Source organism: Homo sapiens, chromosome 1 (assembly GCF_000001405.40).
Source record: "Homo sapiens chromosome 1, GRCh38.p14 Primary Assembly".
Lineage (NCBI taxonomy): Eukaryota > Metazoa > Chordata > Mammalia > Primates > Hominidae > Homo > Homo sapiens.
In genome coordinates, this window is record NC_000001.11 from 101016112 (window position 1) to 101032632 (window position 16521).

Sequence of the window (16521 nt, forward strand, 5' to 3'; positions counted from 1 at the left end):
TGGGAGGCTGAGGCAGACAGATCACGAGGTCAGGAGATCGGGACCATCCTGACCAACACGGTGAAACCCCGTCTCTACTAAAAATACAAAAAGTTAGCTGGGCGTGGTGGCAGGCGCCTGTAGTCCCAGCTACTCGGGAGGGTGAGGCAGGAGAATGGCGTGAACCCGGGAGGCGGAGCTTGCAGTGAGCTGAGATTGTGCCACTGCACTCCAGCCTGGGCAACAGAATGAGACTCCTTCTCAAAAAAAAGAACTTTTCCTTTGCATACATAACTTGGCTGTTTGATGAAAAAGGCCTAGTTTCCAGCTTATCTTGGCTTTCCTTTTCTTTCTTTCTTTTTTTTTTTTTTTGACACGGAATCTCACTATATCACCCAGGCTGGAGTGCAGTAGCATGATCTTGGCTCACTGCAACCTCCACCTCCTGGGTTCAAGCAATTGTCCCTCCCTCAGCCTCTCGGGTAGCTGGGATTACAGGCACCCGCCACCACGCCCAGCTAATTTTTGTATTTTTTGGTAGAGACGGGGTTTCATCATGTTGGCCAGGCTGGTCTTGAACTCCTGACTGGAGGTGATCTGCCCACCTCAGCCTCCCAAAGTGCTGGGATTACAGGTGTGAGCCACCACACCCAGCCTCTTGGCTTTCTATATGCCTTCCTCATTTCTAGCTTTTGATTCAAAGTGAGAGACATGTGACTCTTTCACTTAAACACTTTGAGGCCATTGTAGGGTTATTAATTGACCTAACTTCAATATTGTTGGGTCTCTGGTAAAAGGGAGGCCCAAGAAGAGAGAGAGAGTTGGGGGAATGGCTGGTTGGTGGGGAGCAGTCAGAACACACACAACATTTATCAATTAAGTTCGCCATTTTATATGCGCTTGGTTTGTGGCAACCCAAAGTACAACAGTAACATCAAAGATCACTGATCACAAATCATCATTAACAGATGTAATAATGAAAAAGCTTGAAATATCACAATAATTACCAAAATGTAACACAGAGACAGGAAGTGAGAACATGCTGTCAGAAAAAAATGGCACCAATAGGATTGCTCAATGCAAAGTTGCCACAAACCTTCAATTTTTAAAAAATGCAATGTATGTGAAATGAAATAAAGCAAAACACAATAAAACGAGGTATGCCTGTACATAAATTTTCACAGCTTGTCACTCAGTCTTTATATGAGAGTCCTATCTCCTATAATATTGGATTTTATATCTGTCCAGCAGTCATTTTAACTGTTTTTATTTGGTTACTGTGTGTAATTAGGATGTGTGTATGCGTATGTACGTATGTGTGCATATTTGACCTGTTGCCTTTCCATTTTTAAGATAAAATCTCAAGATTGTAAGTAGGTAGATTGGAGTAAAGAGAGACTATAGATAAATATAAACATGGACACAGTGAAATGTAACCGCTTATCAATTTAGAACTTCATTTTAAAGGCCTTTTTCCCTCCTGATAAAAATTCCAGGCCCTACTGGGTAAAGCAACATTAGCATGTCTGAGAAACCACATGCAAACAAGTAGAACCTGTGGACTGGTCAATGCATACCAAGTAGGAAGATAAAGGGCTTTCACCCCATGGAGCAGTCAGATATATATTAACAAATTAACAAATGCCCACCAGGGAAGCCTGTTTTTAATCACATACATAAAATAAAACTGGTATGAAAAATAATCATTAATTTGATTTCAAATAAGCTTTTAAAAAATAACATGAATGTCAATTATAAAGAATTGTTTTTAATATCACCTTCAACAGAATCTCACTACTTAACATTAAGAGTAAAGAAAACTAAATTAGTTACTTGGTGAGTTATTTAAGCAAATGAAAAACTGGCTCAAAATTACATCTCTATCACAAGTTTATTTAAAATGAGTAGACACATACATATACACACAAACAAATTTACTATTTCTAGGTATATGGCTCTATCTAAAATCATATATGTGTATATGTATGTATGCTCAGAAATAGTAATAAATCTGTCTGTAATAACATGCTTGTTACTTGAAATTGTTCTAAAGGCAATTTCAAGAAAGGAGATCCAAAAATGTTTTGATTAATGGAATCAATAAAATAAAGTACACAAAGGTGACCAATTTGAATATACAAAATTTGATTTTTTTTTTTTTTTTTTGAGACAGAGTCTTGCTCCATTGCCCAGGCTGGAGTGCAGTGGCACGATCTTGGCTCATGCAACCTCCGCCTCCCGGGTTCAATCAATTCTCCTGCCTCAGCCTCCTGAGTAGCTGGGATTACAGGTGCCTGCCACCACGTCTGGCTACTTTTTTGTATTTTTAGTAGAGATGGGGTTTCGCCACATTGCCCAGGCTGGTTTCAAACTCCTGGGCTCGGGCAATCCACCCGCCTCAGCCTCCCAAAGTTGCTGGGATTACAAGCATGAGCCACTGCGCCGGCTGGTATGTTTGTTTTAAATTTTATAGTGTCTCCGTTTTTGACATAAGTGTGGCTGGTGGGCCAGAAATTTAGTAATGTTTGCAATGATATAGCGCAAATGACGTTTTCATGAACTATGGAAGCACTAACACTTGGCACTATCCTTTTGAAAAATAATTGACAATATGCTTTATTCTACAAAATGTCCATGTCCACACCTTTTGATATTTTATTCCTAAAAACCTATTTTGGAGGATCTACCATAAGGAAACAACCTAAAACATGGGGATAAAGAAGTGGGAGGCAGGAAGGTATCATATACATAAATTTACATGTGACAGCTTTATTTATATTGAAGAAAAATAGACTAATAATAATGCTGCCATTGATTTTATAGTTATTAGGTATCAAGCACTGTTCACATTCATTACATGGAATGGAAGCAGTCAGCCTACATCAGGACATATTATCTGTATATGGATGCCACTAAGGAAAAGGCATACAACATAGGGATAAAAATTTTGTATTCATTATAATAATATAGTTACAGAGCATATTGAAATACAGAATGGAATAATAAAACAGAACCATCATTAGAAACAGTGTGTTTAATAAAGACTTCTTATGCAGAGATTTAGGGATAGAATGTTTGAGACTGTCAACTCTCACAGTGATTAAGTTCTATTGATTTAGTATATATTTTTAGACTCATTTACTTTCTTTGTGTGATCTATTTCCATATTCCTTTCAATAACCTGGGTAAAAGAACAAAGATGAGACTACATGAACTTACTTAACTATGACTTTAAATTGTCTTCAAGAACTTCATATTGCTGGAGATGGACAGTGCTGATAGTTGCACAACAATGTGAATGTACTTAGTATGCCACTGAACTGTACACTAAAATGGTTAAAATGACACATTTTGTCATGTGTCATTTTACCATTTTAAAAGTACTGAAAAAAAGAATTTAAGATTCAGCATCTTAAACAATCTTCTTTTTATATATTTTATTTAAATAAGAAGGGGTCTTAAAATTAAATAAGGGATATTTTTTGCTCATATCTAAGAATTTCAGTGCCTTGCTGCATTCTATATTCCTTACCTGATTTCTCCTCCATTTAATCCACTCATATTCCAATTAAAATTACACATTCCCCATCATGCCATTTCCAACTATCATATCCTAACTATAATCTGCCGGTAAATAAAAAATAACTGCAGTACAGTAAATATTCCTTAAATCTGAATTCAAATACAAGGCTATATACGATGAATCACTAAGAAAGGGCAAATTAAAGAAGTCTAAAATGGAAAAAAAAAAGGCACTCCGGAATAAAACAGGAATGAAAGAGGTAGCATCTGAGCTGTATACTAATTTTATAGTACAATTAGGTATAATTAGGAACTGAGAAGAACTCTTTTAAGGAAAAAGCTTGAGCAAAGAAATAGGGGAAGAATATTACAAAACACTTATGAAATGGAAAGTTGTACCATTTGGTTTTAGCATAGCGGTTAAAGAGTAGCTAGAGAAAAAAGAAAGACTTCAAGATTTAAGGCCATGAGAAGTCACTGAAGGTTTTTGAGCATGGGAGCAATTAATTACATCAAGGTACTTTCTCTGTGCCTCAGTTTTTTCATTTATATGAGCATTCTTCCTTCTACCTTTCTCCTGGCCCACCCTATAATCTCCATCTGTTGAACCCTATCCAGACCCAGCGCAAGTTCCAGCTCCTCCATAAAACCACCACTAATCAACTCCAAACATCATGTCTTTAAATTCATACACATATTTCTGTCCTCATCTTACAGTCAAACTTTCAGTATTATATTGAAGGTATTCAGTCTTTCCTTTTTGAATAGTCTCTTTTCCTGGCTTCTGTGACAACATACTCTCTTGCTTTTTCTCCCTCCTCCTCTGGCTCCAGGTACACGATGAAATTCCAAGGTTTCCTAGGGCCATCCTAGGTCCTCTTTTCCCACTCTTCTCTCCTAAGCTGATTCTATCCATTCCTCCAGCTTTAAACACCATAAACATACTGATGACTTCAAAAGCCATTTATCTAGGATGACCTCCCATCCCAAGCTCTAGCAGCAGCTAACTGCCTACTTGACATCTCAAAGTAAACATATTTCCAGAACCAATTCTTGTTTCTCCAAATCCTGTTCTCTACCAGTTTTCAAGTGACACTACCAACCACTCATTTGTAAAGCTAGAATCCTGGGAATCAGATTTACTCCTTTCCTTTTCCTTATCCACCACATTCATCTTGGCATTCTTCTTCTAAATATGTTCCCATCTTTTTCTCTTTTCCACCAAAAACGTTCTTGCCTCCCTAAAATCCATTTACCTAAGCACTTAAAGTGACCTTTTAATGCTAATCAGATTTTGACTTTTTCCTGCTTTGAATCCTGCAAAAGTTTACCACTGTATTTAAATTAAATTCCTAGTCCCCTCCAAGGTCTTACATGGTCCTTATGTTCCTTAAATCTGTGATATAAATCTTAGGTAACCAGCTGTAGACAAAGAACTCTTCTGTTTGGCTTGACATTAGAGATTGATGATGCTTGACTAGGCAGTAGATGCCCATCTTCGTGGTAATGACAAAGAACAGGGTTCCCAATGGATATAAGAAACTGAAATCAGAGACTTGATAAATGATAAATTCAAGGCAAGCAAAGTGACGGCAGTATTGCCAAATAGTAGATGATTACAAAAGGAAAAAAAACCTAGGACAAAAGAAGTCGAAGATGCCTGAAATTATCAGCAGAAAATGGCAGGCATGACTTTTGATAATGTAATGAACTATTTAATAATGATATAGCAGTTAAGGCATTTGTTGCCCTACATGACCTTCTAAAACAGCAGAAGCAATGATACAAACTTTAGAGTTGACACTTGATAATGTAGTGATACATATGATGATATATTTACCAACTAGCTTTTCTTCACTAATCTCAAAGATCATGAAAGTTTAAACTATGACATTTTAGATAGCGCTTAAGTAACCAGAGTTCCTTATCAGGACCTGGCAGGTAAAAGTGTTAAATGCAATAGAATAATTCTTACTGATTAAAAAAAAGTAAATGAGTTAAAAACTCAAAATATCTGCCTTGACTTACCCAAATGGATCACCAACCACAAGGAATGCAACATCACTGATATCAGCATCCTTTAAAATATTATCTGCTTCTTGTTCCACTTCTTCTCTATCAGCAACAACCAATTTTCTTCCATAAAACTCTTCCTACAGATATAAGTCCAATATCAAGATAAAGAGACAGCAGGTGACCATTCTAACACACACACACACACACACACACACACACACACACACACACTCTTTGTTTGGGACTGGTGCATATGTTGGCAACCACCCAAATGCAGATCATTCAATACAACTCATCAGTAAGCCAGTACTTTATGTCATGTTGCAATTAAACTCTGTATTTGGGGCTGTCTTAATATCCCAAAGGAGGCGGAACTCTTAACATCTGAGGCTTTTTGCATTTTAAATTTATTTCTAAATTTGGTTCTAAAGGCCAAATAGAACACTGTAGGATGAATGCGGAATATGTACACATGAGCCCTACTTCAGAAACATGATGTAATACAGAATAAATATATTAAACAATAAGTTTAAACAAACATGGTGGTTTAGCTTTTATTAAATTTTCAATGGTTAAACATATGGCAACTCAGCTAGAAAAAAAAGGCAGCACCAATGAGAAACAATAGAAAATTAGCTGTTTACAGAACCAGTGAACATTCCTACATAAATGCAGAAGATACTAATTTAAAACTATATTCCTTAGTTTCTGCTAAAAAGGCAGAGTTGCAGGAGCAGTAACTGAATTCTAAATATGTAGGAAGTTTGCAAACAAACTGCTTTGTGATTTAATTCCCTGCAGCTCAACTCTAGAGAACAAATCCAGTAGAGAGTGAGCTAGTAAGCTAGTAGTCATCTGATAGTGGTTACGGGCTATTATGCAAGATCATGAATCCTTTTCTTTTTTTTCATCTCGTCAGCCAGTACAGAATGAAGGATCATGAATCTTAAAACTGATTTCCTGAGAAGTAATAAGTAATTCAAATGGAGTAAAACTGGATGCATAGATAAATAATACGGTTTCTTACATACTGAGAACTTTGAGTGAGTTATTAAAATTTATAAGGATTGCTGTAGTGCAACGGTATCTGGTACTCAATAATATCTGTCAAACAAATGAGTACATGAACAAATTATTAAGCAGGGCAGGATCCAGCATTGACCATTTTGCTTGAATCCTACCTTCTCTGTAGGTGTTCTGTGAAGTTAAACTTTGTGTAGCTATTATCTATCCTTAAGAATACAGAGACACAGTACAGTGTAGAGGTCAAGAGTGGTAGACCTCGGCCGGGCGCAGTGGCTCTCACCTGTAATCACAGCACTTTGGAGGCCGAGGCAGGTGGATCACCTGAGGTCAGGAGTTCGAGACCAGCCTGGCCAACATGGTGAAATCTCATCCTACTAAAAATACAAAAATTAGCCGGGCGCAATGGCACACGCCTGTAATCCCAGCTACTCAGAAGGCTGTGACAGAAGAATTGCTTGAACCCGAGAGGCAGAGGTTGCAGGGGGCCGAGATCGCACCACTGCATTCCAGCCTAGGCAACATAGCAAGACTCCGTCTCAAAATAAAAAAACATAATAAATAATAATAATAATAAAAAGAGTGGCAGACTTCAACTCAGGACTGCTTTGGTTCATCTCCTGGCTCTATCATTCACTATCTGCATGAACTTAGGCAAGTTTGTTAACTTCTCTATCCCTGCAAAATGAACAGTAATTAGAATAATAATCCTAATCTACATGTAAAGCATTTAAAACAGTGCACAGTAACTGTTCTGTAACTGTTCTATAAATGTCAGTACTTATTACTGTGAAGAAACAGATATTCCAGCACCTTAACAAAGTACACATAATTTACTGTAGGTAAGGCTGGGTCCAGCTTCAGGTCTTGACTCTGTAAGTAGTAACTCCAGAAGTTTTGTCTTTGGAAAAAAATACTTTACAAAATAACAGCAGCCAAAATTAACATTTAGCTAGCACTGAAAATTTACAAAGCACTTTCATATACATCATCTCAATAAAACACTACATAACCCTCCAACTGGTAATTGCCACTTGACAAATGAAGAAACTGAGGTTCAGAGAAGTTTGGAAATGTGAACATTGACAATTTCTATTTCTGAACAGTTTTGTGCCATATACCATAGTTAAGAACCTATGCTAAGAATTATGCTGAACACCTAAAGTAGATGTTTTTTACCCCATTTAAAAAAGACACTAAAGTTAAAGGACTTGTCCAAGGTCACATTAACATGTAACAAAGATAAAACTATAACCAAACTTTCCTCTATGCCATCCCCTGATATCTCATTCTATCAAACTGCTGTTTTGTTATTTGTCTGTCTTTTCTTGAAGGTGTTAAGTTCCTTTTACTTTTCCTTAATCACTGATTAGAGACGCACATTTCCATCATTTCGAGCTTAGATATTTTGGTTCTATCCTAAGAGTGAAAAAATGAGAAAAAAAAATGTTTTTTAAATCAAAGCTGGCCTTAGGCTGGGTGTGGTTGCTTGTGCCTATACAATCCCAGCACTTTAGGAGGCCGAGGTGGGCAGATCACTAGAGTCCAGGAACTTGTGACCAGCCTGGGCAATGTGGCAAAACCCTGTCTCTACAAAAAATACAAAAAATTAGCTGGGCATGATGGCACCCACCTGTAGTCTCAGCTACTCGAGAGGTTGAGGTGGGAGGATACTTGAGCCCAGGAGGCTGAGGCTGCAGTGAGCCATGATCATACCATTGCACCCCAGCCTGGGCAACAGAGCAAGACTTATTTTCTCTCTCTCTCCACATATATGTATATATCAAAGTTGGTCTTTACACACAACTTTTATTTAAATGCATGGCCAATTCAAGTAGCAGTTCTTAATTCCTTCTATAAGATTTTAAAGTAATCTGAGGCCTAAAAATTTTAAGTCTATTTTTTGTTTGGAAGACATGACAATAAATCTGCTCCCTCCTCCCATAACATATGTATTAATCCTTTGATTTACATTCTACTTAGAGTTTGACAATGAACCTGAAGTTGACCCTTCCCCCAAATTTACTGGGCCCTTATGAGGGCCAACTATAAATGTATAATATACTAACAAATACTTTGGTTACTTAGTGTATACTCATGTAAGTGTATACTCATACATTTTTATATATTAAGTCCAGGCTCACTCAATATATACAAGTGTATCAGTATAAGCCTTATTGGGAGATAGTCTATTTAAGATAAGATCTCTCTGGATAGGATACAAAAAGGCAATCGCCATTCCCTATGGACACACTTCAAAGGGGGAAGCTTTCAGCTTGGTTTTTGAATATATATAACCAACTCATTAAGGCTGTGTCAGCTCCTCATTAGCACTCAACTCAGAAAGGGTTTCTTGACTACCTCATGAAATAAGGGGTTTTGATAACTATCCCCCAGGAGTATAAAATAGCTTTCCTATTTACTGGAGAAAGCCACAAAATTAGACTTGTAAAATAGGACAAAGCACCCTTTCATTTTCCAAGTCACTTGGTTGGTGTAAAATTTCCATTCTTCTGCTCCTCAGATCATTAATGAACAAGGGATGCGTTTCAAAGGGTTTAAACAAGCAGACCTGAAAATTCTGTTCAGCTTAGTGTATGAAAATCAGATGTTAGATAGCTTTCTTCCCAGGAGGCTGGGGAACGCTCAGCACCTACCAAGGCTTCCTTCCCTACAGTTAGGACTGAGGTGTAGGCTTCCAGATACACTCGACTGCAGCGTCTAACAACTTCCAGGCCCTTGACTGTGATGTCCTTGGCATCTCCCAGGCCCAACCCGATGAGATAAAGCATTTCAAACTTGAGGAGAAGAGAGACTGCAAGACGAAGTGGACAGAAAAACCGTCAGTAACACCGAGGACATCTAAAATCTAGTGATGAACACGATGACAACCAAAGTAGCACAAGAGAAGAGGCAAGTCACAAGGAGGGGTTTGGGAACCTTATGTCACGCTTAAGAACTGGGATAAGAGGTTTTAAACAACCCTACCAGTTTTGCCTCTTGTTACACAAACCTAGGAGCAGCCAATTACCCGCTGAGAGAATCGTAGGTAGTTCTCTGGCCTTTACAAATTCTTAACTACCACCTTTCCGCAGAAGCAACTGCAAAAGCGCCGGCTCCGTGCAGAGAAAAGGCCCACGCCGCCGGCCTCACCTACGGTGCCGCAAAATGCTGGTGCCTTTACTGCACTTTACGACTAGCGGGAGGGGGCCGGGCTAGCGGGCTACTGGGCTGCGGAGACCAGAGCCCGGCTCCACTGAAGAAACCCGCCGGCTGCTGGGGCAGGGCGGCGAAAGGTCAGTCGGCCGAGAGGAGTCCGTGGAGCCACCGTTTCATAGCCTCAGGGAAAGGATCGGGCGTGCTCACGAGCCCTCTAACCCATGGCTTAAACACCCGCTTCCTAAGCCTGGGTAAGTGCAGTAGCTCTTCGCTCGAGAGGAGCCACGTGGAAGAGAGTCGGGAGGGGCCCTGCGCCCTACTCCTCCTCTCCAGAAACAGGGAGGGCTGGGAAGGATTTTCCTGATTTGTCCCCGGATTTGGCCGAGTGCACAGATTTTAATTCCAGTCTTCTCATCCTCCTGTAGTTCAACTAGGTGTCTTCCTGGTGAAGCGTGAGATTGGCAAACCCAGCAGTGAGTGTGCTTCTGATTTCCCAACAAGGCAATGACTCCTTGGGTTTGTCCCCAAGACCTTATGCCTGGAGTGCCCCAAGGATGTTTCAGTCACCCTCAGTGTCAGGAATCCCAGACCTTCCTGTACCTAAAGAAGTGACCTTTAATAGTGCTCAGGGATTTCAGACCTCTCAAGTGTTTCTGCCGGGGGAATTCTTATAAAGCTGTTGGTTACATGTAATTAGAAATAGGGAAGATTTGTTTTGACTGAAAATGCTCTTCCCAAGGTGACCTCATCCAAGTTAAAAAAGACAGCTGTCATTGCTTTTCTTAGCAGGCAGTGTTGGTTACTCAGAATTTTCCTGTTGCCTCCCCGACAATGCCCAACTCCGCTTCCTTGAACCTTGGCTTTTTTTCATTCCCAGGTTCCATCCACCTTTTTGCACTTCCTATCTATAAACTCTTCGTGGCTGTGTTTTATCCCCTCTCATTACGTTGATCTATTCCTCACACCACATACACACCCCAAAAAACTCAAAATGGATCGTAGATGTAAATGGAAAACCTAAACCTATACCAGAAGAAAACATAGGAGGAAATATTCGTGACCTTATTTAGGCAAATATTTCTTAAACCAAAAGCGTGATGAAAAAAATTGATAAATTGGACTTCAACAAAGTAAAAATTTATGCTCTTCAAAAGACTTGAAGCCACATACTGAAAATATTTACAAAGCATGTATCTGATGAAGGACTTGTATGGAGAATATATAAGGAGCACTCAGAAAGCAATAATAAAACAGTTCGTTGTTTAAAAATGGGCAAAAGATTTGAATAGACACCAAAGAAGATACACAAATAGCAAATAATTATTTTAAAAGATCTTAAACAAACAAAAAAAGATCCTAAACATCATTAGACATTAGGAAAATAAACATTTAAATCACAATGAGCTACCACAACCCACCTATTAGAATGGCTTAAGTAAAACAAACAAAACCTCACAAAAACTGGCTGTTCACTCAGAATTCCTAGTATCGCTAATATTTTGTAGATTCAAATTTCAGCCTCCTATCCAGACTTCCTCCCTCTTGGCTTCATGTTAACGTTCTGCTGGAAATCTTCACCTAGATAACCCGGAAGCATATTCAACACATCCAAGGTTGAATCCATCACCTTCCCTTTCCATTTTGCTTTTCTTTCCATATTATCTACTTGGATGGGTCGGGGGTGGGGGTGGGTGAGGAGAGTATTGTCATCAACAGATTAACCCCAGCCAGACACTTGGGAGTCACCCCCACATCGTCTGTCATGTCTGCCTGTATATCTCAATAGAAACCATACCGTCTATCACCATCTTGATTCTCAGGTCCTCATTTTGTCACTCTTGTAGCTGATAATAATGTCTCCTTCACTCAAGGGGGTCAGAGAGTTATAGTTAACAATCTGAAAATATTACACCCCTTCTAGATCCTTCTGAGGCCAAGAGAAAGTCCAGGTTTGTTAACATACCCCACAAGATCATTCGTGGTGTGGCCACTGCCTACCTTTTTAGCATCATCTCTCTCCACTCCATACCATGAGCTTTCTCGCTTTCTCTCCAGCAATACTGAATTGCTTGTAGTTCTCTGCCCACAACATGCTGCTTTGTTCCTCTACGCTGCTGCCTCATCATAGAATATTGTCTCCCATTCTCTCCTGCCTAGATCACTAATACCCATTCTTTAAGACCAAGTTCAGGAAGCCTTCCCAGAGACCCTCACCCCCCTAAGCTAATTTAGGTTTCTCCTCTTCATTACAGTATTACTCTACATATACTTACTAACCAATTTATGAGATTTTATATTTGTTCATTTGTATTTCTTCTTTACCAAACTATTGATTTAGTTAATTCAGGGACTGCATCTTATTTGTATGCTCATCTTAGGTTTAGCACTATCCCTTGCACATAATAGGTATTAAATAAATGTTTGTTGAATAAATCATTATTATCCACTAGTAGCTGAGCTACGTATTTTTCCATCTTTATTAATACAGAGGGTGGTATGTTTTAAAAAACTACCAAAAAAATCATTAATGGAATATCAAATATAAATATGCCTGTCTCATGCCACTTTAGAAGGTCATTTGTATTGAAAGGCTTGCAACACACAAAACATATAGTTCATATGCATGCTATTGAGTAGGTAAACACATTTTCCAATGTGTTGATCATTTATGTTTTTTGTTTTCAGATTTAAAAAAATAATAATTTCAGGTAGATTCACAGTGCAAGGACACTGCCAAAAAGGATGATTAAGTAATCTGAAGAAGGTGTGGTTTATCTCCTTTCAGGAAATATATCTATATTGAAAATAAAGTTATTCTGGGTAATCAAGGAAGTGAAACATTGCCTGAAATAACAGTAATAATTTGTTTTTAAGCTTCAAAATGTAGCCAGAGGAACTTAGTTTTACCACGGAGAATTCTTAACAAACAAACCTTTCACCTGCCGTTATTTCTCAATAAGAGTGTAAATTTTTTGTACTTTTCTGGAGGTAGACAGATAAAGGGATTATGGTAATCTTTTTTGTTTTTCCTCCTCAGCTCAACAAACATAAGCTGCAAAAATCTTGCCTATTGGATTTTGCAGAATTCTGTGGGATTTGGACATTTTTCCCTTGCCATTTAAAACAGGTTTCAAATGTGATTACATTTTCCCCAACAATTTATTGTGAAAAATTTCAAACATATAGAAAAGTTGAAACAGTGTCACAGTCAACACCCATATAGCCACCTCCAAGGTTCTAAAGTTTTAACATTTTGCTGTTTTTGCTTTATCACTTATTTATCCTTTTACCCAGATGTCAACCCATCTTATTTGTTGATGCATTTCCAGGGAAGTTGCAGCCATCAATACACATATTACATTTTGCTTGAAACATAAACTCCTCACCTAGGTAATAGATTAACAAAACATACCTAGGCATATAGCTGATTAAATGATATCATTGCTTCACCTAATTTAGGCTGGATTTTGAAAATTTTGCTGTAAAACGATTTCAAATTAGTTTTTAACAAATATTATAGTTTTATAATGATAATGAAAGCAGTTAGAGGACAAATTCTTTTATGTCAGCAAATTTGTAGTCTCATGTCTAGCAGAAGAGAGAGTGATGGTTAAAGAGAAAGGTGATTATAGGACAAAAGAAAAAAAGAAAGATTTTTAGCCTTTTTTGGCTTCAAGAATAACATGGATAGATTAGACCTGAAGAGTTTTCTACTTTGTATTCTTGCTTTCAGGTCAGATGATGCCAAGTCATCCCTGAGGGTGAACATTTATGCTTTTATGAAGGATCTTTAAGATGTTTTTATAACCTTTGCCAGTAACTCATTTTTACTGGCAAATTCTTCCTTATATTTGAGACCTACAGTCAGTAGTCATAAAATGTGAGAGAGATGCAGATAGTCATAAGAAATTAATACTGATGGCTTTTCCATTTCATTGTCATAGACACATCATATGCTACTTTTATTCTGAAGTAATAACATAGTTGAGTCACTGCATTACCTTACGGACAAATTATAATTACCTTACATTTAAGAGAAGTCATCCTTCAATTGTCCTGTTTAAGCAGTTTGTGTATTGAAAAGAAGACATCAGGGTGACTGACTAAACTCCATCTGACCTTACTGTGAATGAAGAATATTATTTTACTATGAAGCTGGCCTTTTAACCTACATGTTCCCAGAAATTGCCTTTGTTAGAGGAAATCTTGGTTAATATTTGTAGAGCTCAGACTCTTAATTGATTGAAGTCATTATTTTCTAACAATTCACAAATAAGTGATAATTAAAGATAACATTGCTTTAGGATAAGGACCTGTATTTACTAAGGTTAAAAGATTTGAAGTTACTTTATTGTACACTTGTTTACTTAGAGAAAAAGTCACTTTTTATAAACCCAGTGATTTTAAGTACTCATCCATACATTATATGTTAATCATATGATGTAAAAATGCATAAAAAACAAATCTAGAGCTATTTTCTGTGTAAAGTGTGGAAATTTTTATTGTCATTCATCCTAGCTTAATAGATTGAATCAGTAACAATATGGACTGTCGTAAAGAAGTCACCTAGAGCCCTGCGTTTTTGTGTAAAGGAGCTCCCAGAATGTTCCCTTAAGTGCCTGTGTGTATGTGCATGTATGTGTAAACTTTCTGTTTGTTTCTAACCCATTTTCGTATATGGCAGGTCCTTCCTCCAAAGTCTATTGCTAAAAAGGTAGAATCAGGGATACATAATTCACTCTTTTTGCATTTAAAAAAACTACAGGCCAGGCACGGTGGCTTACGCCTGTAATCCCAGCACTTTGGGAGGCTGAGGCGGGTGGATCACGAGGTCAGGAGATCCAGACCATCCTGGCTAACACGGTGAAACCCCGTCTCTACTAAAAATACAAAAAAATTAGCCGGGCGTGGTGGCGGGCACCTGTAGTCCCAGCTACTTGGGAGGCTGAGGCAGGAGAATGGCCTGAACCTGGGAGGCGGAGCTTGCAGTGAGCCAAGATCGTGCCACTGCACTCCAGCCTGGGCAACAAAGCGAGACTCCGTCTCAAATAAAAAACAAAAACAAAAACAAAAACTTACAGTGTCCCTTTAAGGTTTTTTAGGGAAACATAGCTAAACTAGCCAAGATTTGGTGGGAGAAGGGGAGTGGTTTCCCTTTCATTCAAAAGCCAAAATTCATAAAAGCGAACTACCAGGCTGTATATTAGCCACACACACATACCCCCACTATCTACACCACTCCCCTAGTTCTCCAGCCTCACCTCCTCGTCTCCGTACCCCTGGCCCCTACAGATAGCTGTGTGGCTCTGGCTCCACTTCCTTGAAGTCATTGTTCAGAATTCACTTCCTCAGTGAGGGCTATTTTATGTAAACTACAACCAACATTTCTAATCACTTTATCCGCTTATTTGCCCCTGTAGCATTGCTCACTTTGTAACACAACTGTCTAGTTTACTTATTTATTATGATGTTTTTTGTCCACATCCTATTAGAGTATAAGCACCACAAAGGCAGGATTTTTTTGTCTGTGTTATGCTCTAATGTGAAACAAACAGCTAGAACAGTGTTTGATGCTCAGTAAATATATATTGAATGAATGAGTATACATCTACACATGGTAATAAGTTATAAATAAATTTCTGGAGGAGAAGAACTGAACAGAGGGGATTTTTTATAATGATTGAGAACTCACATTTTGATGTCATTCAGACCGTGTTTAGTCTAGGCCTTTCACTCAGTAGTGTATTCCTTGCATTCCCTTTTTAAACCTCAGTTACCTATTCTATAAAATAGAGATAATAGTAACATCTTTCATGGGATTATTGTGAGGATAAATGAAAAAATACATATAAAGGGTTTAGCATACTTTCAGACAACTAGTAAAGACTCAGAAAACATTGACAAATATTGATATAGAGTTTGAAATTAATTTTAGAATTATCTACAGTGTCTGTCAGATTATAATATGAAAGTCAAGTCCACCTAGATTGGTTCTTATTCTTTTCCCCATTCACAAAAGTTATATGAATCATTTACATAATTCAGTAATTATAGACCAATCCACTAAATAGTTTACTGATTGACAAAAGTCATCTTAAGCAAGCATTATTATTTTAATATTATTCTCTGAGGTATTCTTTCTGAGAGAAGCTCTTCATTTCAATTATTCTGTCATTGAGTTCAACACTATAGACTTGGTTGGCACCAAAGAAATGTTGTCTGGCAATTTGTTAAAACTTAAAGTAGAACTTAAAGGAAATGGAGCCAAATGTGGTGGTTTACAGCTGTATAATCCTAGCACTTTCAGAGGCTGAGGAGGGAGAATCACTTGAGCCCAGGAGTTTGAGACCAGCCTGGCCAACATACCAAGATTTCGTCTCTACTAAAAATAAAAATAAAAAAGTTAGCTGGGCATGGTGGCATGCACCTGTAGTCCCAGCTGCTCAGGAGGCTGAGGCAGGAGGATTGCTTGAGCCCAGGAATTTGAGGCTGCAATGAGCTATGATCACATCACCGCACTCTAACCTGGGTGACAGAGTGAAACCCTGTCTCAAAAAAAAAAGTGAATGGACTTTGCTTCTTAGTAGTTTAGTAAACAAAATCTGCTAGTGAGCAGAGAAAATGTTCATTTGGGAACTGAATTCTTTTTTTAAAAAAGCTTTTTAGATGCCCAACAACAATAAAAAGAATCATTGTGTTATGTGATACATTCATATAATACAATGCTATACAGCAATCAAAAAGAATGAATTACTGCTACATGAAACAACCTGGATGAATCTCACAGAAATGGGATATAGATTACATAAAGCAAAGTCCACC

General features: G+C 38.1%; 1 protein-coding gene and 1 long non-coding RNA gene across 10 annotated transcripts in view, besides 3 other annotated features; one reads left to right on the forward strand and one right to left on the reverse strand.

The window, feature by feature from the left end:
* The window catches only part of DPH5 (diphthamide biosynthesis 5), a 36162-nt gene extending 26489 nt beyond the window's left edge, over nt 1-9673 (reverse strand). For 4 of the 9 annotated variants that reach the window (XM_047422514.1, XM_005270938.3, NM_001077395.2 and 1 more), the window contains exons 1-3: nt 9572-9673; nt 9198-9355; nt 5530-5654 (exon numbers count right to left, since the gene is read on the reverse strand). In XM_047422514.1, the coding sequence (XP_047278470.1) occupies nt 5530-5654; nt 9198-9332 (260 nt within the window). In that variant the 5' untranslated portion in view covers nt 9333-9355; nt 9572-9673. Of the gene's footprint in view, nt 1-5529; nt 5655-9197; nt 9356-9528 lie in introns of all 9 variants that reach the window. The other 5 variants (XM_024447600.2, XM_047422513.1, NM_001077394.2 and 2 more) reach the window with 2 other exon arrangements.
* Nucleotides 9203-10402: an enhancer, noted in NCBI's record as "CDK7 strongly-dependent group 2 enhancer chr1:101490870-101492069 (GRCh37/hg19 assembly coordinates)". NCBI's record gives its function as "activates an origin of replication core promoter dependent on BRD2, BRD4, P300/CBP, MED14 and CDK7 cofactors, with strong dependence on CDK7, by STARR-seq in HCT116 cells {active_cell/tissue: HCT116}" and the evidence as "EXISTENCE:reporter gene assay evidence [ECO:0000049][PMID:35650434]".
* Nucleotides 9495-9604: an enhancer, noted in NCBI's record as "active region_1391". NCBI's record gives its function as "activates an Ori minimal core promoter by ATAC-STARR-seq in GM12878 lymphoblastoid cells {active_cell/tissue: GM12878}" and the evidence as "EXISTENCE:reporter gene assay evidence [ECO:0000049][PMID:35858748]".
* DPH5-DT (DPH5 divergent transcript) overlaps nt 9735-16521 on the forward strand; it is a 61534-nt gene continuing 54747 nt past the window's right edge. Inside the window, exon 1 of the long non-coding RNA NR_109849.1 lies at nt 9735-9950. This is a non-coding gene — a long non-coding RNA (DPH5 divergent transcript). The remainder of the gene's footprint in view (nt 9951-16521) is intronic.
* Nucleotides 11396-11455: a silencer, noted in NCBI's record as "silent region_1122". NCBI's record gives its function as "represses an Ori minimal core promoter by ATAC-STARR-seq in GM12878 lymphoblastoid cells {active_cell/tissue: GM12878}" and the evidence as "EXISTENCE:reporter gene assay evidence [ECO:0000049][PMID:35858748]".